Consider the following 27,487-nt stretch of genomic DNA (forward strand, 5'->3'; position numbering starts at 1 on the left):
TGCTGCTTTCTTACTAGTTATTGCAATCAGTGTTTACAGCATGCCTTTACACGACCAATACGCCTTACAGTCGCTCATTAGTTACTCTTTCCAAATTCCTGGAGAAGTGGGTCAGCATTATCATCTTCGGGATTACTTTAGGGAGGAGGAAGCTGACCATCCCTGTGAAGATAACTTAGCCACAATTGTGCTGGGTGGAAGTTGACCACCCCTGTGAAGATAACTTAGCCACAATCGTGCTGGGATAACAGGAGTGGCTGCTTCAGAACAGAGCCTTGGGTGCCACCAGTTTGCTCCTCCAACACATCATCAAGCAGGACTCCACCACCAGCATGGATTTACAAGACTCCCCTCGTCCCTCCCTAAACATACAGGATGTACATTTGGAACAAGTTTGTATCTTCAAATTTGTAAAATACACCATCACAGGTCATCCTTTAATGTTTTGCATCGAAAGGGTGGTTTTTATATTCCTTTCTCTGTTTCAAAAATGCATTACAGCTTACAAAGTAACATCCTGGTGAGGCTGCATTTCCTGAGAGTAATGACTAATAAAGGCTTTGGGCAAAGCCTCGCCTGCAACTCCTCTAGCCAGCATTATTAACAACAAGGGCACAGCTTTTCAAGAGGCCCCGCTACTTCCATCATAAATGCTAACAGGTGCTCCTTTTATCTGGGGATCCTCAAGCACCTTACAGATACTACTCATTAAGTCTCATGAGGCCTCTAGGAGACAGACCCAGTGAGACACATAAAAGGGAATCCTGTCACTCATCAAAGACAGAAAACAGCAACCAGCTCATATACTTGATAGAGCAACAACAATTTTACTGAAGGAAACATTAGAAACATTGCCTAGAAATCTCTAACCTAGATGCTTTCTTCTGAGTCTCATTCACTCATTGGCAAAATGAGAATAATAACACTAGTTCAGACAACTTCATGAGGTTAGAGAGTGCAGATCAAATGAAGGGGGCAGAGGGAAAGGGGCTGAGTAAACTCTGATGTCCATACAGATAAAAGGCATTATTTCCATGATCTAAATCAAACTGAGATTTGAGGCAGAAAATGCCATCTCTAAATCTTGTGCCTAATACAGGGAGTCTTTTTTCCAAACAGCTTGGGCATTATTTATACAAATGCAAATTCTATTTCTATGTCTATGATCACATTCCTATAGGGTATAGGAGAAGATGAAGGAAGAGAAAAGCAAAATGAGAGTCAAAGCACATAGACACAATTATCCTTGATTGTAATGTTTGCATATATTCAACATTCAAAACATTTTTTCATCTGCCTGGAAAACATTCATGATAGAAGAAATAGAACTGTACAGACTCTGCAATGGATTATGTCGCTTTATTCAGATTTGTTTTCTTTTTTTTTTTTTAACTCCAGTTACAAAAATTACAGCTTTAAAAGTTTCACTGAAATTCCCATAAAACTGCAGGAATTCAACTGCCAACTGGATTTGCTGCTGCAGGAGATAATCCACTTTGGTTCAGAGGTGGCCCCTTTTGCTTGAAAGGAAACCAGGACCTTCCTGAAACTGTCATGGGCTATCTAAACCACACCAGCCCTTAGAACTCACACTCCCAATTTCTAAATTCCCAAGTGTCTCCCTTCAAAAACGAGAAAGGGGGTACCTCCATGTATTTAAAGAGGTCGATTAATTTTATCTCCCGAGGTCTAAGTAAACAAACAAACAAACAAACAAAAACCCTGGCAATTTGCTTTAAAACATACAGAGTACTTTCCCAAGGAGTTGACAATGTGGTGAGAAACAATCAGAAGCCAGAACTCAAAAGAACAGAGGGGCAAGTTGTTGCGTTACTAGAGTAGGTTGGTAGCCAAGTTTTCGTTTCATTTAGAAACTTTATAAAGAAGTTTCCGTGAACATGAAAGTTATGACAGTCATCTGTCACAGTCAGTAACCGATCCACCTTTCTTAGGATTGAGGAATTCTCCATTGTGAGTGTCTGAGAGAGGCATGGTTTGTCTCTCATTATAGAAGGAGAACAAGAGAGAAGCTGGCTTCTCTCTTCCCTTGCCTTGTTAGGGATATAAATGGAAACTAAATTAGCCAATCAGATGCAGCATTTCAATGTCCAGCCAAAGCACTGCCCAACATCCAGTGTATCTCGGCTGTCTGGACAGGGCTCAGGCAGCAGCTCCAGCCCAGTCCTAACCATTATGTCTATACTGCGTACCGTCCAATATTCCTTAATAACTTCTTTTTCTGGTTGAGTTAACCAGTTTCCATTGCTTTCTGCAAAGAGCCCACACTGGACTAATCATGGGCTAAAGAGGCAACCCTTTCTAATGCTAGTACTGCCTGGATCCTGAGCAATTGTCCATGGGCAGTTCATTTTATAGATATAAGAAGCAGGAGGATGCAAGAGGAAAGTGATTTAGCAAAAGTCATTTAGCCCAAAATTTAAAACTGCCAGGCACGGTGGCTTGTGCCTGTAATCCCAGCACTTTGGGAGGCCGAGGTGGGTGGATCACTTGAGGTCAGGAGTTCGAGACCAGCCTCGCCAACATGGTGAAACCCCGTCTTTACTAAAAATACAAAAATTAGCTGGGCGTGGTGGTGGGTCCCTGTAATCCCCAGGTAGCTGGCTGAGGCAGGGAATCACTTGAACCTGGGAGGTGGAGGTTGCAGTGAGCTGAGATTGTACCACTGCACTCCAGCCTGGGCAACAGAGACTCTGTTTCAAAAACACAAAAAGAAGGAAGGAAAAAGGACAGTGAGCAGGGGGATGTGGGTGGCTCGAGGAGACTGGAGGAAGAAAAGGGCTTTGAATTCTCAGCATGTTTACTTGACTTAAAGAAGCGGCTGGGCACGGTGGCTCACACCTGTAATCCCAGCAATTTGGGAGGCCAAGGCGGGCAGATCACGAGGTCAGGAGATCGAGACCATCCTGGCTAACACGGTGAAACCCCATCTCTACTAAAAAAAAAAAAAATACAAAAAATTAGCCAGGCATGGTGGCGGTTGCCTGTAGTCCCAGCTACTCGGGAGGCTGAGGCAGGAGAATGGTGTGAACCCGGGAGGTGGAGCTGGCAGTAAGCCGAGATCGTGCCACTGCACTCCAGCTGGGGTGACAGGGCGAGACTCTGTCTCAAAAAAAAAAAAAAAGAAGCAACACGGAGTATAAAGATGACCCAACTTTCCACTCATCCCCAAAGCGTGACTGGAATAACACTCTCTGAATCAGCACTTGCTGCATGGAGCACCACATTGAGAACAATTCCAAAGCTGCATCTTGGCTCAGTGGGAATGAGTTCACCAATCAATTAGTGTTATGGGTCTAGTAAGAGTGAGAAGGAAAACACAGAGACATGTATTCACCATCGTTGATATACTGAGAATAACTCCCAGACTAAGAGTTAAAATAGGTGTGTTCTGGCCTTAGCTCTGTCTGGCTAGTAGACTCTTGGATTAGAGGAATTCGTATCACGTGGGAGCATGCTAGAACTGGAGAATTTCCTTAGATATACTGAATCACAATCTGCATTTTAAGAAAATAACTGGGTGATTCATATGGCCAACTCTAAAACTGCCTGATTTGGGAAAATTCCCTTCTCTGTCCCCACTGTACTAGGGAAATATTTACTGACTGCCCACCATATGTATGGTGCTGGGCCAGGACTATTAGAATATACAAGGAATTGATCAATCTGGTCTAGAGTTCACATACAATTAAGAGATTTACTTTATATGTCATCAGCTACCCTCCAGAGTAGTACTCAAGGGGTTTTATTTTTGGCTGCTATAAAAGCCAACGGGAACAATGCTAAATGAATGGGAATCCCTTTGGATTGCACTGCTAACAAAACCTAAAAGAAAATGATCTGTTTACACCTTTATGCTACATCTTTCCAAACCTTCTGAGTACAAAAGCAATCAGCAGTTGCCTGTAATTACTGTGTCATGTGGATACTACTGACCTCACATTGTTCTCCTTGGTTACATCATCGTGCGACTTCAGAGAAAAATAATTATCACTACAGGCCAAAACAGGTAAATAGGAAATTCAGAGGAACAGTGCTTTCTACACTACAGCAGACCTGGAGGGCAGAAAAGCAAGAGGAAGGAGACATCTGGTCCAGTATAGTTTGGAAAGGCATAAAACCTAACCAAGTTTTATAAAGATTAGGCAAACGAGCATCACTTTATTCCCCATATTGGAGTCTGCCAGTTCAAAAGGAATCTTATATTCTAGATGAGTTATTAGTAGTGTATATAGGCAAATGCCTCTTGAAATGTATACATGAATGATACAATTTTGATATGTAATGGGCTCCCTGTAGAATGCCCCAAACCCTGCAACCTATTTCTCTAACAACCTAAAATTCACAGGTATGTGTTCTGTTAAGTTTGGTTCTAAAATGACTTTTATTATAAATTTAGTGACATGTTTCCATGGAGAAAAAAAATTCCAAAACATAGAACTGTAATTTTTTAGGTAAAAAGAAACCACGATAATGCTATCCCAATCCCAATCCCGCAGATTCTAAAGTGGGTATCTTTAGGCTGGAAATGGGAATGCATTTGAAGTGCTTTCATAAATATGGTGTCACTGTCCCTCACCTGGATTATATTCTATGGCTTTCCTCATATGACAGGAAAAGGCTCTAAGATCTGTGACAACAGGAGCTGTGTCTCTCTTATTCATCTCTCTTTTCACAGCATTTAGTATGGTCTCTGGCACACACATAATTGTTGAAGAATGAGTGAATCAATGCAACCACCTCAAAAAAAAAAAACAAACCTTTACGGTTATTACAGGAGGAAATTTGGCAGCATATTTCAAAGATAAAGCAGAAGTACATGGAGAAAAGTATCTTGCTCTCAAAAAGCCTACAGAGAAAGAGTGCTATCACCTCACAGCACTTCTAAGCCTTTTGCAGTTATGGAAGCCATATGACCCCAGGTTTATGAGAACAGATCTGAAGTAGTTTTGACATAAAAACAAGAAATTGGCCAGGTGTGGTGGCTCACACCTGTAATCCTAGCACCTTGGGAAGCAAAGGTAGGGGGATCACTTGAGCCCAGGAATTCAAGACTAGCCTAAGTAACACAGGGATACCCTGTCTCTACAAAAAAAAAAAAAAAAAAGAAAGAAAGAAAAAAAAAAAGAAAATTAGCCATGTGTGGTGGCACACACCTGTAGTCCCAGCTACTCTGGAGGCTGAGGTGGGAGGATCACTTGAGCCCAGGAGGTTGAGGCTGCGGTGAACCAAGATTGTGCCACTGCACTCCAGTCTGGGCAACAGAGAGAGACCTTGTCTCAAAAACAAATGAACAAACAAAAAAACAAGAAATTGTTTTCATCCCTCATATCCTGCAATAGCCGTTTCGCATGTTATCTCTTTTGGCTTCTCAATTTTAAAGTTAAGGAAACCAAGACCCAAAGGGTTAAGCAATTTGCCTCTAGTCTAAAATCAAGTCCATAGAAGAGACCGCACTTGGCCTAAGATCTGCTAGCCGCTAGCATGGTGATGTGTATGCCCTGAGAAGAACTGTGATCTTCATAAAGAACATAAAGTCTATAATCAAAGTAAAATCCCAATGCAAGTGTCATGGGGAACTTTGATATTATTCTCTAGATCATTTGAGTCATAAACTTCTTTGCTTCTCTATCCTTCCTCTCCTCTTGTATTCAAAATATTTTAGACAGATGTATTGGCCCTGAAATGGATCTAAGCTGACCATTGCTTTACAGCCTATAATCCTAGGGATTAAAACTCGAGTGAGTTCCTTTTAAGACAGACCAGGTAAAACCCCAGAGAGGGCCTCTTCCATGTCCATCTAACTGATTGCTCTTCAGATAAATTTCTCCCACTTTTTAAAAAAGCCATTTTTTCTTTCAGGCTGAATCACTAATGCAGGGAGTCATGGCTAGAAGTGGGATGCAGCGGAGGTGCCCAAGAACTGAATCCACAAAAAGTCATTAATTGCCAAAATGACTGAGCAAATTCAAATGACCCAAATGCATTCGCTCGTAAGGGCAATTTGCTTCTAGGAAACTGGAAGGAGAGAGGGGTCACTGAAGCCGAAGCCACATAGCGGATGACAAACAGGATAAGGAAAAGCAAGAAGGCAGACAGTTCAACTCTGTCAGCATCAAAGATTCAGACCCAACAAAAACGCTTATATAAAAGGCTTTGCCTATAAACATGTTTATTTACCTTCTATTTGGATGGATTTCTAAATTTTCCTGGAGAGTCCAGGTTATTGAAAATAACTGCACTGCCAGTGTCTCTTGGTTTAAAGGTCTGCTAAAAATTCTACAAAAAAACTAGCAACAAAAGCCTTGAATGTCTCAACATATTTCATCCGTCTCATCTCAGAGGTTTCACCAACACCCAAATGTCCAGCTGTTTACATGTGCAATTTATGACTCCTTCAGTGTGTCGTCCTCTTTTGGGTTCTCTGCTGTGTGGGATAGGCACAGTAATAACTGTCCCCTACATAAGAAAACCATTTATTTAAAATATCACACAGGATAAAGGCAGAGTTACAAACACTGCAAGTCTGTCAATTCCACTCACTGATTTTTCTTGGCTCTCCCCAGCCGGCTATCATCTTTCATGAAGTGCCAACTAGCAACAAAAATACTGACTTGTGTTACATCAAAAAGGTTTTTTGGAAAAAAAAAGAAAAAAGGCAGAAACTCACTGTCTTAGTCTTTTTACACTGCATAGGCCTAGTTTTATTTCAGAGCATTTCATCCAATGGTCCATCTCTGTTCCCACAAACACCTTATTAAGTACTATTTTGGCTTCTTTAAGCTAGATTCCTCTGGGGGAAAAAAAAAAAATCACAATTTCTCCTTGTGATAAATGACTATTACATTCACTGCATTTAACAAACACATCATGTCAGTAGTCTAGCTGAGGGGAAAATCACAAATTAGGTAAGCTGTAGTCCTTATCTGAAGGGATTCAGACTCTCAAAAGAGAAGATGGGCACAGGGGTACTGTCACTTAAAATAATAATCTTAGTCATAACAGCAAAAATAATAACACATTGTGAGACAGTAACATACCACTCAATCTGCTTACAAAATAGAAAGATACTTCTGCCTTTAATCAGATCCATTTACAGGTAGGGCTGACTTTGTTTGCCTGTGACCCATACGGTGACACTAGAGCCCTGTCTTCTCAGAAGGGTGCCATGCTTCGTTTAATGCTCTGCTGTGTCTTGAAATCCTGAACAATTTTTGAACAAAAGGTCCACATTTTAATTTTGTGCTAGATCCTGTAAATTGGTAGTTGGTCCTGCTTGCAGGCTAAAACCTGCAAACCTTAATCTCACTGGCTTAGGAACACCTTCTTTTCATATTAGCTCCCATGGTTAAATGAGAAACCTTGGAGGCAGAATAGTGAATGTTATTTGTCCAGTACAGCCTCCAGTTGAGATGGCAACTTCCTCCTTATTGAACAGGCCTGCTGTGAATGATACTGTTGATCTTCACTGGATGGCATACCCTTTATCATACATATCTTAGACCTTTGGAGTTGATAGAGAACATCTAGGCCAATGGACTCATTTTGCAGGTGAAGAGCCAGGACATTTGGGTGACTCACCAGAGAATGAACAGTTAGTTCCTGACAAAGAGGGTAAAACCAAGGCCATTGCTCTTTCAACCACTAGAAATTCTATTTGAATGAGTGTGATGAACTAGGGTGGGAGTCTGTCTGCCCAGCCTATTACCTTAAGTAGGCACCTGTCCACAGTGCCTGGCATGTAACAAATATTTGGTTGAATGCAGGCATGTACATATGCACGAGCAAATACAAAAGGTAATAAAACAACAAATTATGTCCCACTAGGCACAGAATCTTAAACTTTTTAGTTACTAGTTTCCTTAACAAGCTTCAAACTTTCTTAAAATCTTCAATAGTTTTTATCTTTCAAGGAAAGAATGCTGTTCTGATAAAAATACTAAACAGAGAATGCAAAATAATTACGATGATGATAATCACAGCAATAACATTTACCTGGAACATAGCAATTGAAGGAGGCTGAGAGATCTTGCTTGCAACTGGTTCAGATATCACATCTAATAATTTCCACTGGATGTGATATCTGAAGCAATGACTGGAAAAGTGTATGTGCAAAGCCTGTGGGTTCTCTTGACATGTCAGTCAATATTAAAAAAAAAAAAGATGAAACCACTACACTACAGAGTAGGATTTTTTTACTTTTAGAGAAAAGTAAAATTAAAATCATTTCCTTACGGAGCAAGTACTTACGACACCGATGAAAAAGGGCATGAAAAAGCCAAGGACCTTGAGTTCTGTGCCCACTAAAACAAACAACCCAAAAGCCCACGGCCAAATAGAAAACAGAAATAATTGAGCCCAGGTTGATTAAATAGCTTCCCAGATAGTGGATCATTTGCATTAAGTCTGAATCCTTTCTCATCCTTAGTTTCTTCAATTGGGGTGATAATGAAGACACACATCTCCTAAGTTGCTGGAAAGAGCAAGTGAGTTCATACATGTACAGTGCATGGAAGAGTGCTATATATACAGTAAGTACTCAATAAGTATTTTCTGTCTATGGGCTAAGCCTGACCAAGCAGTGCCTGCAACACTGAGCTCAAGGAAGAAATACTCCAAGGAAGGTAAAGAAACGCACAGGTAGTAGAGAAACTAACATGAGCTCAAAAAAGATGAAAAGATGATCCACAGGCAGAAGGCTAAATCACAGGAAGTGTCAGCTCTGAGTGCTTCCCTCTTCCTCCTCACTCTGGCACAAATATGATACGAGCACTTCCTCCCTGCTCTTCAATGTGAAAGACATCAGAGACACAACAGAAAACAAAAGACATCATCCGTCCGTTGCCATGCTCACAGACTAGCCAGAAAGGCAGTTATTAGACATGGAGTAGGAACTTAATATTTTTGAATGAATGAACCAATGAAAATTAGTGCCCTCCTCCTCCAAAACCAAAGAATCATAAGCAGGCTCAATAGATTTTTCTAGTAAGTCATCATGACAGATTCCCCATTACTGCTTCTATTAGGGACATAGGGGATGAGACTGAAGGAGTATGCCAAAGGTGAAGATCTTCCCAGAAATTCCTAACTATAAAGCTTTCACAGCCGGATTAACATGCTTCTCTCAGCATGGATATCTATCCGTATATGGGTATGTATCTCAATATGGGCATCTATCTGTAATGTGTCTCATAGAAAAGTGTAAGAGCAGCCAGGCGTGGTGCCTCACACCTGTAATCGCAGCACTTTGGGAGGCCAAGGCAGGCGTATCACCTGAGGTAAGGAGTTTGAGACCACCCTGGCCAACACAGTGAAACCCCATCTCTACTAAAAACACAAAAATTAGCTGGGCATGGTGGCAGATGCCTGTAATCCCAGCTACTTGGGAGGCTGAGGCAGACTTGCTTGAACCTGGGAGGCGGAGGTTGCAGCAAGCCAAGATCGCACATTGCACTGCAGCCTGGGCAACAGAGAGAGACTCCATCTCAAAAAAAAAAAAATAAAGACAGAAGAGAAGAGGAAGAGTTTGCCAAATGGGTGATCTTGTCATTGATCAAGAAGTGCAAGACTACCTATCACTCATTGTCATCCCAACCAGTGGGACCAGTCAACATCTTTCTTGAGATATTCACACCTCAAGAGGAAGAAATGAAGTACCAAATGAAATGTGGGGAGCGGAAGGGTGGAGAATGACAAGTGTCAGCCATCATTTCTCCCCAGGCTATGAAGACAGGCTTAAGCAACTAAATGCAAATTAATTACTTTATTCATATATCAAAAAAAAAAATAGGACATTTACACACACAAGCAAGACTCAAAGACATAAAGACTTCTACAGTTGGAAGATTATAGACTTATCTCTAAATATCCACATCTGGTCAACCCCCATCCCCAAAAAAACCTTTTCTAAAAATGGATCAGTGCTAGAGTGATGTGGGAGAGGAGAAGAGAGTGTGATGGTGAAGTGTCCATCAAGTTTTAAATACATATTTCTATATTTATATAAGTAACATGACAAGTTGACAAAGTCCTTTCCAACAGGCAGACAGATTTGTCAGAGGTGTTTGAACCACAGTGACTCCATCTTGAGTAGGGGCTGGGTAAAATAAGGCAGAGACCTACTAGGAGGCTGCATTCCCGGAAGGTTAGTTGTGTTTAGTCATAGGGCGAGATAGGAGATCAGCAGGATACATGTCACAAAGACCTTGCTGATAAAACAGCATGCGGTAAAGATGCCAGCCAAATCCCACCAAAACCAAGATGGCAACAAAGGTGACCTCTAGTCATCCTCACTGCTCAATTATATGCTAATTGTATTGCATTAGCATGCTAAAAGACACTTCCACCAATGCCATGACAGTTTACAGATGCCATGGCAATGCCAAGACGTTATCTTATATGGCCTAAAAAGGGGAAGAATCCTCAGTTCCAGGAATTGCCCACCCATTTCCTGGAAAACTCATGAATAATCCACCCTTTGTTTAACACATAATCAAGAAATAACCATAAAAATAGGCAATCAACAGTCCTCGGGGCTGCCCTGCCTTTGGAAAGCCATTCTTTATTCCTTTACTTTCCTAATAAACTTGCTTTGACTTTATTCTATGGAGTCGCCCTGAATTCTTTCTCTCACAAGATCCAAGAACTCTCACTTGGCGTCTAGATGGAGGCCCCTTTCCAGACATGGATACATTTCCTGTATATACTCACACAGACATACATATGCCCTTCAAAGGAGGCATGCTTAGAAATAAAAATAAATAAATAAATAACTGATATATTAGCAATTGATAAATCTTTATAAATTATAAACTACAATGATATATATATTTTGTGTGGGGCGGGGGTGTGGGAGGTCTATGAGAGAGGGAGGGAAGGAGGAAGAGAAGGAGATGGAAAAGGGGGAGGTGGGAATAAGAGAGGGGGAAGCCAGACACCTAGGCGTGGTTATTGGCTACACATTGAGCTGGCTGTTTTACCAAGGTTATCAGTCTTTCAGAGATCAATAATAAAATGATATGAAGAGAACGAGGATACCTATTTTCAAAAATATGCTTCCAAAGATGTCTGTTGCCGGACATGCTGGCAGAGAATAGCTGCATGATGCAAAATTCCATTACTTTATCATATCCATCTATGTTTTAGGTATATTTCTTTACCAGGACATCATAGCCTTAAAAGTCACTCAAGGTTTCTATTGCAGCTAAGGTCAGAATCCTAAAGTTGTGCATTCACTCCCTCTGGGTCCTAGATTTTTGATCACTTGAAATGTTCTGTTTGCAAGTCGAAGCAGTGAGTCTCAAGCTTAAGTAATTATGGACCATATATGAAGAAGAAAATGCCCACGCGGAAAATAAGTCAAGTGAATGCATTTACTTTATTTTTATTGAAATGTAACTTATTATGCACAAATACAAATTTTTTAAAACAAAAGCAATTTAAATTATTTCAATTCGAAATTACGTAGTTTTACTAAAACTCAATTGTCCATATTGAATTTTGCAGTAGAAAAATAGAGTCTCAGGCCAAGTTATATATTTGAGGTTTTTGGGGGGGTGCTTTAACTTCTAAATGTTAGAGTGTCTATTTACATAAGCATGAAAACTATTGAACAGAAAAGTTATTAGGAACTTCAAAGCTTTGCTTGCAGGTTAAGGATAATCAGAATTCAACTTAACCAAATGCTGGCTGGGGAGCAATCCCTTCATACTGATTTTACAGATTTACCTGGTAAATCTGAAAAGATATTTTGTTCACAGAAGACTAGTTTTGAGGAATTAAAAACTGCATTAAATGGCATCTAAACCAATTACTGAGTCTGGGGGCAGGAAGGGAAATGCTATACCATACAACTGCTAAGACTACTTCTAACAAATGTAGGAGGCTGTTACGTAAAAATGGGAATCCCACTCAAAACATAAACATAGTACTGCCCGCTCACCAGGGTTCTTGGGTCTGCCCACACCTCACTGTCCCACACTCACTTCCCTCCACCCCTCTTTTTTCTATTCAAATACTGCAAAAATCTTTTGGATTTCCTGAGCCTTCGTTTTAGCACATGACAATTATAGGAACATACCTGCACAGAGTTAAGAAATCCATGGCTTTGCTTAGTGCTAGTTTCATCGAGATGACCCAGAAAATACTTTTATGACTGTTCTTAATTTGATTATAATCAAAATGAAAAATGTAAAGTAAAAAAGAGCTTGGATTTCCATCCAAGGATAGCCAAACTCCAGTCAGTGAAGCCTAGAGCTGGCTGCCAGGGCAGCACTCAGAGTGGCTGAGTAACCTATCCAAGGACACCCAGAGGGAATGCAAACTTAACGTGCTCCTAACATCTTCCCCGTGCTCACTCCATCCTAGCCATACTGGCCCCCTTCTGTTCCTTGAACAAAGCTCTCACCTGTCTCAGGGCCTTGATACTGGCTGCTCTCTCTCAGTGGTATGTTCTTCCCCAAACCTCCCAAGACTGGCTCTATGCTACACTCACTTTTCGCCTCCAAAGTCTCTCTTGAAGAGGTCTTCTGGTCTTTTAGAACCAGTCAGTTTCTAGCATTCATGGAACTATCTTAAATCTCTGCCATAGCTCTTATCACTCTCAGATGTTCTGCTGGGTATTTTTTTTTTTTTTTTTTTGGTTTATTTGAGATGGAGTCTTGCTCTGTCGCCCAGGCTGGAGTGCAGTGGCGCCATTTCAGCTCACTGCAACCTCCACCTCTCGGGTTCAAGCAATTCTCCTGTCTCAGCCTCCTGAGTAGCTGGATTACAGGCGCACACCATCACGCCCAGCTAATTTTTGTATTTTTAGTAGAAACGGGGTTTCACCATGTTAGGCAGGCTGTTCTCCAAATCGTGACCTCAAGGGATCCACCGGCCTTGGCCTCCCAAAATGTTGGGATTACAGGCACTCTCAGATGTTTTAATCTATGTCTGAAAGTGATGAGAGCTATGGCAGAGATTTGATTGGCAAGTTTATTTATTCACTGTCTACTAGAATATAAGCACCGTGAGTACTGGGACCTTCTTGGTCTCACTTACTGCTGCGTCCCATGCACCTAGGCAAGTCTGGCACATTATAAACCATCAATAAACATTTGTTTAATGAACAAATGAAGGAAGAAACAGGAGGCACGGGGCACAGAAAGATGATACAACTGCCCCTCTATTTAATCCAGTCCACTACCCTTACTCTGAATGCTTCACATCACATTGCTCGTCTTAATTGTTTTCAAACAAACAAGTCCAGACGCCTGCTCACAGGGGTCCCTAGTGGGCTCCTGCTGTCCAGCCTTGCTCCACGTGAAGATGCCCTCTTCACAGAGCAATGGATCCCCCTCTCCTGGTTCCAGCTCTAGGAGTCTCACCACAATCCCACCAGCAAAACCTCTATCTCCTGCCTCAAATTCTGGACACAGGATATCTCTCCCAACCACAGGAACACTCCTGTGCCTTCTACCTCAACACGCACTGCTTCAGCACAGTGTTTTGAAACCCTTTAGTCTGAGACACACCTGTAAATTTTCAGAACTTCCCCATTCCCCACCCCACAGATACAGTAAGAGCAGCACCAGGCTTGTCGGGTTTTGTTCTCCTCCATGTGTTTCCCAGCAGCACTTAGCAAAAAAAAGTATTAAATGAAAAAAAAAAATGGACTGTTTCTTGCTTTCAGGAACAGCATGGACGAAGGATCCAGGGAGGCAGAGGGATAGAATGGCCCATAGCTGGCTTTATAAGAGAAGGGGGAAGCAGGCGCAGTCCATGCGCCTCTGGTAGAGAGAGAGGGTTGAGTCTGGGGAGCCTGCCTGCATGTTGCAAGAGGCCCCCCAGGGCTTCCGAGCAGACCAGGACGTGGTTTCCCATTGATGTGCCCTGTGTAAGCTCCTCCAGAGGCAGTTCCCACTGGGGAAATTCCCTCCAAGGAGTTGTCACGCCCCCTTTCCCTTCCTTCTCATCTGGATAACCCTCTTTGCTTCCCTGTATCTCTTCAAAGGGCTCCTGCCTTTCAGCTTCTGGCTAGAGAATGAAATCTGAAATGCAGCCAGTTCACAGGAAGCCAGCCAGCTGGGTGCGCAAAGAACCCAGAACTGTTTCACACCTCAGGCTCCTTTCACAATGCAAATGGATACCTGACTCAGGCACTGCGGTACAGGACAGCAATGTGCACGCTTCTTTTATGTACGTATTTTTTTTAAGCACAGAATCTCTTCTTCCAAGAAAATGGTATGCAGAAACTCAGGATAGAAAACCAGTTAGGAGCAGAGGTTGGGAATCTCAAAGCCACTCCAGCCCTTTCGCCCTGAATTGATCCTACACATGCATCTATCCTAGAGAATCTTAGGAACTTAGCAGAACACAGCTTAAACAGTGTCATAAGAAAGAAAGCATGTGAGCTTTCTTATCAAGACAGACCTGGCTTGAAAATCCATTCTGTTACTTACTAAACTCTCTTGGCCTCAATGTCCTCCTTATCTCTAAAATGAGGACATATACATCTCCTAGGATTATGGTGAGAATTAAGTGATAACGGAGGTTAAAGAGGCCTACTACCCATCCTGGGCTCTCAAGAAACAACACAGCAGCTGTAGGGACAGGAGCTAATAGTGTCATGTCCATGGTTTGGTTTGTCATTTCTAAACACAGACACAGGCATTCCTCCACTTCCCAAACCCAAATCCAGAAAATCCTGGTTAGTTATCTATCACTTTTTTTTTTTTTTTTTTTGAGACAGGGTCTTGCTGTTGCCCAAGCTGGACTGCAGTGACATCATCATGATTCACTGCAGCCTCGACCTCCCAGGTTCACGGGATCCTCCTGCCTCAGCCTCCCAAGTGGTTGGGAGGTGTGCACCAACACGCCTGGTACACAGGTATGCACCAACATGCCAACAGCACCAACAGCTAATTCATTTTAAATTTACTTTATGTAGAGACAGGATCTCCCTATGTTGCCCAGGCTGGTCTCAAACTCCTAGGCTCCAACAATCCTATTGCCTCACTGCCTCAACCTCCCAAAGTGCTAGGATTACAGGTGTGAGCCACTGTGCCCAGCTTCCTATTACTCCTATAATCTTGTGGCATCCAAACTCAACTTTCTTAAATATTCCAATGCAAATATGTATTTCTGTAAAATTATTATTTTTATTTTAATTTTTGGAGCTCTGTAATAGTCTCAACACAGACAATCACAGGTACAGAGAGGACCTGGGTTGTCAATATACTGGAATATAAACACTAAGGGCAGGTATAATATTTAATGAAACCAAATTCTATAATATACTGCTATATTCAAAGCTCCCTGGTCCTGGTTTACAAAGAAGGAACACCAGGCAGAGGAGAACGAATGAAGTCGCTTTCATAAAATCTTGCCTTCATCTGTAGAAGGGTGTATGGTTGTTCCTCTTTCTATTCAGTCCATCAGCCCACAAAAAGCTCTGCATTTGGAAAACTGGACAAATTCCATATTCACTCAAGTAGAATGGCGATCTGACTTGGCAACATGTTTCCACTGAAATTTGTGCAAAGAAAACAAAAGGGAAGGACATTACATCCATATCCATGTTCTCCTCACCAACAAAACCCTTGAAGACTGGAATTTCCCTGCCTGTCTTCTGAGCAGATGAGGACCTGAGCCTATTCCAACAGCCTGTGGATCTATACTCCACATACCCCACTGTCACAGACTCCACTAGTCCACTGGAGATTTCTCCCATCCTATGCACTTTGTGAGTCAAATAAATTTCCATTGGTTAAGAAGTGTGAGTGCAGCTGCCATTTTTACTTGTTAACTTAAATATCACAATAAATGACCAAATTAGAGAAAACCAAGAGAATCAGAGAGAAGTCAACCTAGAACCCTGATATCACCAAATTGCTGATTAACTTACAAACAAAATACACCACCATCACCACTTGGGAACTGTCTATCTTCTCTATTTTTAGGAAGATAAGTTTTCCTTGTTTAAACTGTGTTGAGGGGCCAGGCCCGGAGGCTCACGCTTGTAATCCCAGCACTTTCGGATGCCAAGGTGGGCAGATCACCTGAGGGCAGGATTTTGAGACCAGCCTGGCCAACATAGTGAAACGCTGTCTCTACTAAAAATACAAAAATTAGCCAGGCGTGGTGGCACGCACCTGTAATCCCAGCTACTTGGGAGGCTGAGGCAGGAGAATCACTTGAAACCGGGAGGTGGAGGTTGCAGTGAGTTGAGATCATGCCACTGCACTCCAGCCTGGGCAACAGAGTGAGACTCCATCTCAAAAAATAAATAAATAAACAAACAAACAAATAAATAAATAAATAACTATGTTGAGTTGGAATGTCTTCTAGATGTGGCCCAGAGCATTCTGATTAACCCATTCAACACAGCACCTGCCACACAGGAGATGGAAAACACCATCACTGTACCTATTATGACTTCTTCCATCTCTACATCCCTTCGCTCCCTCCATTATTACTTCCCCTGCCCAATATCCCCTCAAAACACACCATTTAGCTCCTTCAAATACCTTTTTTAGATTTATGCTTGTTTGGCATATTTTCCCAGAGTGGCTGTATGTATTTAATATGATTAACAGCTTTAGTCATTAAACAGCATTTCTTTAAGAGGATTGCACGAGATTACCCTTAGGGTCTTGGGCTGAAATCATTGCACTTGTACACAACCAGTGTAGGTAATGGAAGTTCATCATAATGTAACAAGTTCACTCAGTACTTAATATAATCGAGGACACAATCCATAAAAATATTCTTCCTAAACTAATCAAATCATTAAAATGTCAGCTTCTACACAGACGCTCCATGGCACTCCTGCCCCTGGCCCAGATTCAATTCAAATGGAATTTTGCTGAATCGCCCTGATTTATGAAGTCTGTGTTTCTTCATCCTGCCCCCTCCCTGTTGCTTAACTCTGCTGCCTGAATATAGTTGTCCCAGCAAGAAAATAAACTGGCTGGAAGCCAGAAGCCATGACACAAAGCAAGCTCTTGTCAAACGGTTTCCTTATTAGCTGTTCACATACAATAAAGACTGTAAGGTTTTTCCCCTGTATGCAACGCGTTCAGAGCATTTTCCCATTTGTTGGAAAACTGAGATCAGGAAGAAAAATAACTCTTATGCACTACATGCCAGAGAGAGAGCACTGGATTCAGTGAGAGAGAAGGAGAAAAAGAGTGTGTGAATGTGTGTGTGTACACACATTGCAGCCCATGGTTTATTAACAGGGCCTAATTATGACAATTGCTTCCTGTGGGTCTGTAATCAGCCTGGTATTTCTCAAAGCACTCTATTGGAGCACTGCTCACTCTAGTCACAGATTGCCTGAATATTCTCCAAAACAAAACTGATAAAAATAAACAGCTCGTTTTGAGGGTATTCACTTCTGAAACTGCAGTACCAGACACCTCAATAGGAAATATCTCATTTGCCCCACACTATTCCAAACCCAATGCTTCACATTCGCACATTTCCTCTACAGAGATCCAGAACAGTTTCTAGACTGCAGTGCTATCCACTATGATAGCCCTTGTCTAGCCCCATGGGGTGACTTCCATTTAATTAAACAGACCAGGCACGGTGGCTCATGCCTGTAACCCAAGCACTTTGGGCGGCTGAAGCAGGAGGATTATTTGAGGTCAGGAGTTTGAAACCAGCCTGGCCAACATGGTAAAACTCTGTCTCCACTAAAAATACAAAAATTAGCTGGGCATGGTGGCGGGGACCTGTAATCCCAGCTACTCAGGAGGCTGAGGTGGGAGAATTGCTTGAGGCCAGGAGGTAAAGGTTGCGGTGAGCAGAGATCACACCATTGCACTCCAGCCTAAGTGACAAAGCGAGACTCCAACTCAAAAATAATAACAATAATAATAATAATAAACAAAATTTAAAATTCAGTTTCTTAGTCAAACTAGCCACACTTTGAGTGCTCCACAGTCCCATGTGGCTTATGGCTGGAACACTGGACAATAAAGATAGAGAATATTTCTGGCATCACAGAAAGTTCTCCTGGACAGCTCCATAATCTATAGCATAACACATCTTCAAATGAAAGGGTCAAAAAATAGCTGAGGATGAGCAGTTATTTTTCTTTACAATGGTAAAAAGGAGTGTGCCAATCTCTATAACTGTTAAAGGAGGCATACTCATAATTATTTTTATTTTTCAATAAGATAAATTTGGACCCAATGCCCACTGGCATTTTTATCATAAATAAGTGTTAACACATAAGCATAAAATAATCAAAGAAATTCAAGAAATATTTATTGAATAATCACTATTTGCAAAGCACTCCATCCTAGCACACATTCACTGCCTCAGCTCCCACGGAAACCCTTCGAGCATCCATCAGTACATCCCAGGCAGTCACGGCCATTTGCCATTCCCAAGTAAGTTATACAATCTCATGCCCCCTCCTTTTATTTTTCAAGCTGTTTTTTTTTCCCCCCAATGGAAGCCTCCCTTGCCTGTAAAAATTCAAAGCCCCACTCAAATGCCACCTATTCCATGGACTGTCCCCCAGCCCTGCAAGAACTAGCCCATCAATAATAGCATTCATAACAACAGCCAACATCTGTGAATGTGTGTCAATTTGTACTTTACACAGACAGTATCTTATTTAATCCTCACAGACAACCCTATGAAGCAGGTACCACTGTTGTTTCCATTTGAAGATGAAAAATAGTGACCAGGCACAGTGGCTCATGCCAGCACTTTGGGCGGACAAGGCAGGTGGGTCACCTGAGGTAAGGAGTTTGAGACCAGCCTGACCAACATGGCGAAACCCTGTCTCTACCAAAAATACAAAATTAGCAGGGTATGGTGGTGCGCGCCTGTAATCCCAGCCACTCGAGGGGCTGAAGCAAGAGAATCACTTGAACCCGGGAAGCAGAGGTTGCAGTAAGCCAAGATTGCACCACTGCACTCCAGCCTGGGCAACAAGAGTGAAACTCCATCTCTGAAAAAAAAAAAAAAAGAAAAAGAAAAAAGAATAATAGTGAAGGTGAGAAAATTAAATTACTTGCCTAAAGTCCCACAACTGATAACTAATGGAGCTGGAATTTGACTTCAAGGCCCTCTAACTTCAGATACCACATTCTTAACCAATGTCCTGTGCACTTTCTTTCTTGTGGTGCATATCCTTTATTCCTTTCATTATTCTGAGTTGTGCATACATCTGTCTCAATCTCATCTCCTTCCCTTGTCAATTCCTTGAACGCAAAAACCACATCTTATTCACTTTTGCCCTCACCCAGCACACAATAAATAGAAAAGAAGAAACAGAAGATTGTTGAGAAAATGAATGAATGAATGAGTGCTTCTATTTGGCTATTGGATTGTGACTGTAACTTGCAGAATCTAGTTCTAGACCAAACTAGGACATGGTGGCCCTTTTCCATCCCCTGACATGATTCTTGGGTCCACCATGGATGTCCCAGTCTTCCTCTGAACAATTTTCACCATTACACCAATAAGTCATGGCATTCAATAGCACAGGCCAAGATTTACCAACTGTCAGATTCTGAGTGGCAGCCAGAATGTCATCCAAGAAGTAATACTTGTTTCAAGCCATCTACCCTAGGGCCCAGCCCATGTGGACAGCAGATGACAGCAGGCTACCTGCCCAGGCTGACTAGTGAGATGACATAGGCCGACTGGTGAGATGATGTAGACTGACATCCAGGGGAGCAGGTGGAAGAAAATGCTGGCACAGGGAACCTGTGGTATAATCTCAATGGCTATGGAATCCTGGGGTGGAAAGAGTGGCAAGCTGAGCTAGCATTCCTGGAAGAGCCCCCCGTATCTGGAAGGCTTGAAGAAACATTCCCACAGGGCTAAAAGCACTAGGCATCAAGGAAGGATGTTACAGCTCATTTCAATTCAAACGACCTTTACTAAATAGCTACACAGGGACAGCCCTGGGGTCTGGGGAGTAGCTATTTAAAGGTGAATTAAAACACGCTGCACCCTCAAGAAACTCATTAGTCTAGCAGGAAGCCAGACATTAAGCCAATCCACAGTGATACAAGGTGATCTTGATAAGGCCTAGAATGAGGCATAAGAAGACTCGGGAGATGGTAACATCATTAGTTCAGAATGAGAATTTCTGGTCTGGGAAAAACTTTACAAAATTGAAATCTGTCTGGGTCTTGAAGGATCAGTAGGAGTTTGACCTGTGGGTACAATGGAAGCTGCTGGCATCCTGCGTGTATTCCTTTTATTGGTCAGTGCAGTCACCCCTAGGCTGCTGGGATCTTGCAGGGGAAATGCCTGGGTAATTACCTACCCCCACCCAAAGGCAGCCTACAGCCAGTTAGTTACTGACTGATATGGGGGTCTCCATGGGGCCATACATGCCATTCATGCTACAGATTCCCCAGGGGTTAAGGCGGAGGTTGGACTTCAACTAGACCCACATCCTTCCCCAGCTTCCTGCCCTGCCCCATCCTGCTTCTCACATTCCTTTACTGGCTTCTACAAAGAAATAATTCTCTCAATAAGTCACTTGCATGAGAAACCCCGTCTCGGGACTCCTCTAGGGAACCCTACCTAAGTCAGAGGCAAGTGGGGGAGCAGCAACCAAAGTAGGGAGATTGTCATGTGCAGGCAATCCAGGCATGAATATCTGATGAATGCCGGCAGCTCTACCACGTATCATGGTAAGATGTTCAGATCTTTATTATGCAGGAAATACACAGCCACTGGACAGTTAGAGGAAGATAAGAAAATCAGAGTTCCTAAGCTGCAAAATTTTAAAGCAGGGACTTTGCTACTATAACATATGGAGGGGGGAATAGGCTAGGCCCATAGTTCAGAAAGCTGGTGGTCTGTGCAGCCTCCAGTAAGGCTGGATCTAGGGTAGTGAGAGTGGAACCTGGAAAAAGGGTAAATTCAACAGAGGCAGAAAAAGCAACACACTTTGCAAAGTAGTCAGGAAGGCAAACCCAGGCATTCGCCACACACAGCGCAGAAAGGGTTGATGGTGAGTGATCATTTTTTCAGCCCAAACCACATCCAGCCTTCTTAAGAGACCTGGCACAGAAGAGCTCTGTTCATATACATGGCACACCCTCATGTTAAATCTTTGGTTATTCCAGAATGGATCCTTCTAAAAGTTTCAAACACAAAACTCACTGTCACTTTTCTTCAAGTGACCACTCATTTTATAATGAAAACATGAGGTAGAAATCACAACTTCAAGCCTCCTGCCATCCAGTTTAAGACCTACAGGCAAAACGTACAAATGGCTGGGCAGCCTCACCCCTCTTGCTGTGTCACTCCACACTGTGAATGCCATGACTGTCACTGCCTGTGCTAATGCTACAATCCTAGTTCTACAAGTGGAATGCACAGTATCATCCTATTTTCAGATGGGACAACTGAGGATCAAAGTAAGTTGTTCAAGGAGTTATAGGTCTAATGGGCCCCAACACTGATGACCTTCCCATCACCTGCTGCTACCGTCTTAGCCTCAGTAATGTCCAACCTCATTAATTTTAACATGGAGGACCCATCCATATATTAAAATCCAATTCTTCTACTCTTTAAACTCAGCTCAAGCTTCATTCCTTCTATTAAGTCTGTAACCCAAATGAATCAGACCTTTTGCTGCATCCTCATTGTACCTGTGTGCACAGACCACAACTGCACCACCTATATACTACATACTTGAGGCATACATTTATCATCACTCCTCTGGGTTTCTTCCTTATGAGACTGTAATAATGTAGGGGAAAGGCAGACCTGGCCCCTGTCTTTATACCCCCAGAACCTAGCACAGAGGCTGGTAGGAGTAAATGATAAGAAAATTATACTCAAGGACGGGTGCGGTGGCTCATGCCTATAAACCTAGGACTTTGGGAGGCCGAGGTGGGCAGATCACCTGAGGTCGGGAGTTCCAGACCAGACTGACCAACATGGAGAAAGCCCATCTCTACTAAAAATACAAAATTAGCCAGGCATGGTGGTGCACGCCTGTAATCCCAGCTACTCGGGAGGCTGAGGCAGGAGAATCGCTTGAACCTGGGAGGTGGAGGTTGCGGTGAGCTGAGATCATGCCATTGCACTCCAGTCTGAGCAACAAGAGCGAAATTCGGTCTCCAAAAAACGAAAGAAAAAGAAAAAGAAGATTATACTCAAATATCCAACAAGTTCTGTTGAATGTTTTTTTAAACATTCATATGTAATGAAAATTACACTTGATATATACTAACGCTATGATCCTAATTCTACAAGTTGAATAAATTGGATGGCCCAGGGTCTACTCCCAGCCCTGACACGTAGCAGTCAAAGTGATCCTGGGGAAATACAGAGCTTCTTGGACCCATAGATTATTGGCACATGAAGCCATTGGGCTAGAAACTCTCAAACGTCTTTTTGAATACAAAGAATCTTGTTGCTACTCACATTTATAATAAAGCAAAATAGTCCATATCCAATTTTCCAGTAGCTCTTTGAAATGGATGTTTGTGAAAACATTCATGTAGAAGCCCTAAGAAGTTTAGCCAGAAAACCTAACTACTTTCTTCTTTAAAGAGTATTTGCTAAGGAAGCATTTATTTAGGCAATTTTAAAAAATGGTTTTAAGTCTTTAATGTAAACATTGCCTGATAATGGCAAGAGTAGGGGTAAACAGACACTACTACAAACTGCTAGTAAGAAAATAAATTGGGAGGTCTTTTGTGGAAGGCAATTTGACAATTTATCCTATGGAAATACCTGAGGAGGCTTGTAAAGAAATGCTATGATTATAATAGTCACAGCACCGATTGTAACAATGCATATTGCAACCAAATGACATACAATTATTTGATAAATTATAGTATATTTATGCAAAGGAATACTATATAGTCACATACAAAAAAAATGTGTTTATACAAGTATATTCAGTAGAATGGAAACTGCCTAGAGTAGACTGCTGGGTGAAAGAAGCACTTTAGGAGGCAGTGATGATATTCCTGCAAAAGAAAGTACATGTGAGTGTTTGCACGTACATGCCTGTGGTGTACATATCAGCATATGAGCACACAGATCACAATCACCAGGAATATCTGAGAGGTAAAATTATCAGTGATTTTAAATTTTGCCATTGATATTACATGTGTAATAATGTACGTGTGTATTTTGTTTCTAGCTTGCCATATGAAATAACCTTTAGATATTGGGGCAGGAAGTGCGTAGCTGGGATGTGATATTCCCACCTCCTTTAACAGTGTGCTGGTTACTTAGGCCTCATTCTTCTAGTGTCATTCCTGTTTTGGTTGCAGGGTCACCTATGCCAGGGCCCCAGCAGGTACTCCTGGCAAACCTCACCAAGCTGTATGGTTTCACCCTCCCACCCCCTCTGTATGCGCCATAGGCTGTTATCTGCTGTCTAGTTTCAACTACCTTTCTCAGAAACTCTCATTTCCGTATGAAAGACAGAAGGGAGATCAAAAGTGTGTGGCTGGTTTTATCTGTTGTCTCTCTCCTAATTCTACTTTTAACTACTGTAAAAGAAGTGGAATCTGGCAGGGCATGGTAGCTCATGCCTGTAATCCCAGCACTTTGGGAGGCCCAGACAGGCAGATCACTTGAAGTCAGGAGACCAGCCTGGCCAACAGGGCAAAACTCCGTCTCTACAAAAAAATACAAAAAAAACTAGCTGGGTGTGGTGGCGGGCACATGTAATTCCAGCTACTCAGGAAGCTGAGGCAGGAGAATCCCTGGAATCCGGGAGGCGGAGGTTGCAGTGAGCAAGATTGTGCCACTGTACTCCAGCCTGAGCAACAGAGCGTCTCCAAAAAAACAAATAAAAAAGTGAAATCGGAGTTAATGCCCCAAAGGCAGCATATATTGTCTCAGTGCTCCATTAATTTTAACTTAATTGTTCTGGTACTACTCTTTAGAGCTGTTTATTTAGTATTTGTTTCTGACTGATGAATGTGAAAAAGCGAACATTCTTATTAGATAACAGGTTTGCCCGGCTATGACCGTACTCTGCACAGAAGACTATGTAGGCATGACACATACACAATAGGTTTTAAGACAGAACAATTCCATTAAAATTGGAAAAACTCAAATATGGTTGAAATGCTTATTAAAGAAGAATACACATATTAAAAGAACAGGCAATTTTCATTACTGATGCTATTTCTAAGCCTATCCCCCAAATTCAAAGTACAGCAATTATTATTGACATTGTTATACCAACAATGAAAATAATATCACCATTTCTGAGAACCTCTATGGACCAGGTCTATGCTCAGTGCTAAAAAAATAGATCATCTCGGCCAGGCGCGGTGGCTCACGCCTGTAATCCCAGCACTTTGGGAGGCGGAGGCGGGCGGATCACGAGGTCAGGAGATCGAGACCATCCTGGCTAACACGGTGAAACCCCGTCTCTACTAAAAATACAAAAAATTAGCCGGGCGCGGTGGTGGGCGCCTGTAGTCCCAGCTACTCAGGAGGCTGAGGCAGGAGAACGGCGTGAACCCGGGAAGTGGAGTTTGCAGTGAGCCAAGATCGCGCCACTGCACTCCAGCCTGGGCAATAGAGCGAGACTCCGTCTCAAGAAAAAAATAAAATAAAAAAGATCATCTCACTTACAGTCCCCATTTTATTGATGAGGAAACTGAGGCCTAGAGAAGTTAAGAACATCACACAGCAAGTTGGTAAAGCTGGGTGTTGATGCCCATGCTTGTAACCCCTGTACATCACCCTTCCTCAATCAAATCATCAGGACCCCTCTCTGAGGTTCCATTTTAGCACTTAGAGACCCTGGTGATTTTTTAGTCTAGTTCTTTTCAAGCTGGACTCCACGGAGCTCTTGATGCCATTTGGGCAAAGGGGGGCAAGTTTAAGGATCAGGGGACTCCACTTTCCTCTTCCAGTTGAAGTGCTCTGTGGTTTTTATTTTATTTTATTTTTGAGATGGAGTCTCATTCTGTTGCCCAGGCTGGAGGGCAGTGGTGTGATCTCGGCTCACTGTAACCTCCGCCTCCCAGGTTCAAGCAATTCTCCATCCTCAGCCTCCGGAGTAGCTGAGATTATAGGCGCCCACCACCATACCCAGCTAATTTTTGTATTTTTTAGTAGAGATGGGGTTTCACCATGTTGGTGAGGCTGGTCTCAAACTCCTGACCTCAAATGATCTGTCCGTCTCAGCCTCCCAAAGTGCTAGGATTAGGTGTGAGCCACCACGCCTGGTCTGTGGTTATTTATTTCAGATGTTAGACTTGCCCATGAAATTCTACATCTACAGAATATTTGAAAAATATCAATGTACAAGATTACTGTATTATGTTTTGTTTTTGTTTTGTTTTGTTTGAGATGCGAGTTTTGCTCCTTTTGCCCAGGCTGGAGTGCAATGGCGCAATCTCAGCTCACTGCAACCTTCACCTCCTGGATTCAAGTGATTCTCCTGCCTCAGTCTCCTGAGCTGGGATTATAGGCGCGTGCCACCATGCCCGGCTAATTTTATATTTTTAGTAGAGACGGGATTTTGCCATGTTGGCCAGGCTGGTCTCGAACTTCTGACCTCAGGTAATCTGCCCGCCTCGGCATTCCAAAGTGCTGGGATTACAGGTGTGAGCTACCGCGCCTGGCCTAGATTACTGTATTATGGATGAGGAAACTGTAATCTAATATCAAAAGTATGACTGGGGTCTAGAGGGTCTTCATTTTAATCTGCATTTGCTAATGAGGCATATTTGACTGTGTCTAACTCAGTTTTCCCCTTGGCATAAAGACTTGAGTAATGGTTTTTTGTTTTTTACTTTATGTCAACGCTCTGAGGGAGGACGAATAAAAGGGACTGCAAAGCACTTAGTGCACAGTAAAGTCCTACATAAGCATTTGTGGCGCCTAATCCCAGCACTCTCCGGGGCCTGCTCCTGAAGCTGGTCACAGAGAAGGAAGGTACAGACAGACCAGGGCCTGCCAAGACACAACCAGGGCGCTGAGCAACCTACAGGAGCGGGCAGGCACGTAGCTTGGGCGAGCATGGAAAACAGACAAAAGCGTCATCCACAAATGGAGCCAATCCTATACACGAGGACCAGTCGTGGGCTCCTAGCTTGTTTCAGCAAACAGCAGGCATTGATCCAGGGCAGGGTGGGAGGGCCCACGGCCTCTGAATTATTAACTTCTCCTGTTCCCACGTGAACTTCACCATCAGTGCTTACACCACCACCTGGCACCGTTCGGAGGGATTTTCCACCTTCCTCTGGGGAAAGTGAAACTTATATGGAGGAATGAAACAGAATTGACTTCTGGCTTCTCTTTGAGAAGGCTTCCTTCTTCCACAATTGCTTCATCTTCATTTTACAGAGGAAAACGTGGATGGCTTTGAGGCCAGTTTTATGATATTTATGGGGCGGATTTTTGAGGAGTATATGGGTTACCCGAGCCAAGAATTATTATAAAGGAGCCTCCTAAGCCTGAGGCAGAGAGATCTGTTCTGTCTTGTTAAAAGGGACCACAATAAGTTATTAATTCCATTTAGGATTTGAGGCAGAGGAAAGGGCAGACATGATTACACACAGATGTGTGTAATCCACATAAACTAGGAAATAAGCCACTCTTGTGGGTAAATACACTTGATTCCCAGCTACAGACAGGTAAAATGTTCTGTCTCTCCAACTATGGCCAAACGATTTAGCAGTTTGTTCAGAGCTCAAACACATAAATTATATATACTTGACATTTATCCAAAGTCACTTTTTTCTTTCTTTCCTTTAATTTCTTTTGAGGTAATGTTTACATGAAAAATATACATCTGCATCCTATAATTTTTAGGCATCGACTACTGTGAATTAAACTTGATCAGCTCTATTTAAAGGGGGATGTTTATCGCTTAAGTGCTGGCACCACAAATTGTCCTGAAAAAGCACAAATCATCACTAAGTTCAGAAACTTTCCAAAAGTTGATGACACTTTCACCACAATCTCCTGAGGCTCACTTTAGGGTCCTTCACAATGCGGATAACTTGGGGTTCCTAGAAAGGATGGTCAAAAGTTGCCTAACTTGCAACAATGTGAGATTAACATCTTAATCATTAACTTAAATGGCATTCCTGACTATTCTGTGAAAAGCATTGCCTCAAGAACAAATGATGAATAGAAAGGAAGTGATAGCCTTAATTCTTAAAGAGCTCAAAGTCTAATGGGGGATACAAGATAAACAAAAGCAAGGACACAACCCTATTGGAAGCAAAAACACAGAGTGCAAGTAATTATATCTGAGTAATTAGCCTCAAGTAATACTGGGAAGGCAGGCATTATCTTAGCTTCACTTTGGAGGTCAGCCAAAATCCCTATTCATCCCTTCGTGGGCCTCTCATTTAAGGAGGACTTTTCCCAACTGCTATCAGAGAACAAATATTTGGAGGTGATTTTTCTGCCTCCAGTGATGAATGAGGAAATACCTGCTCCCCGTCTCTGTAATCAGTCCATCAACACTCTGAGATCTTGGGGAGGTGTATGTTTAATTTAT

General features: G+C 42.4%; 1 protein-coding gene and 1 non-coding gene across 2 annotated transcripts in view, besides 3 other annotated features; both read right to left on the bottom strand.

Moving 5' to 3' along the window:
- The window catches only part of EXT1 (exostosin glycosyltransferase 1), a 317,337-nt gene that overhangs the window by 126,109 nt on the left and 163,741 nt on the right, over positions 1–27,487 (bottom strand). The gene's annotated exons all lie outside the window — the stretch shown is intronic.
- Positions 258–315, bottom strand: SNORD168 (small nucleolar RNA, C/D box 168). The gene has a single exon (NR_145799.1). It is a non-coding gene; the product is annotated as a small nucleolar RNA, C/D box 168 (small nucleolar RNA).
- Positions 10,210–10,767: an enhancer, noted in NCBI's record as "OCT4-NANOG-H3K27ac hESC enhancer chr8:118943047-118943604 (GRCh37/hg19 assembly coordinates)". NCBI's record gives its function as "activates a minimal SCP1, AML or CMV promoter by ChIP-STARR-seq in naive H9 embryonic stem cells {active_cell/tissue: H9 hESC(naive)}" and the evidence as "EXISTENCE:reporter gene assay evidence [ECO:0000049][PMID:30033119]".
- Positions 13,253–13,959: an enhancer, noted in NCBI's record as "NANOG-H3K27ac hESC enhancer chr8:118946090-118946796 (GRCh37/hg19 assembly coordinates)". NCBI's record gives its function as "activates a minimal SCP1, AML or CMV promoter by ChIP-STARR-seq in naive H9 embryonic stem cells {active_cell/tissue: H9 hESC(naive)}" and the evidence as "EXISTENCE:reporter gene assay evidence [ECO:0000049][PMID:30033119]".
- Positions 13,960–14,665: an enhancer, noted in NCBI's record as "NANOG-H3K27ac hESC enhancer chr8:118946797-118947502 (GRCh37/hg19 assembly coordinates)". NCBI's record gives its function as "activates a minimal SCP1, AML or CMV promoter by ChIP-STARR-seq in naive H9 embryonic stem cells {active_cell/tissue: H9 hESC(naive)}" and the evidence as "EXISTENCE:reporter gene assay evidence [ECO:0000049][PMID:30033119]".

The sequence above is a fragment of the Homo sapiens genome, chromosome 8, assembly GCF_000001405.40.
Source record: "Homo sapiens chromosome 8, GRCh38.p14 Primary Assembly".
Taxonomy (NCBI): Eukaryota; Metazoa; Chordata; class Mammalia; order Primates; family Hominidae; genus Homo; species Homo sapiens.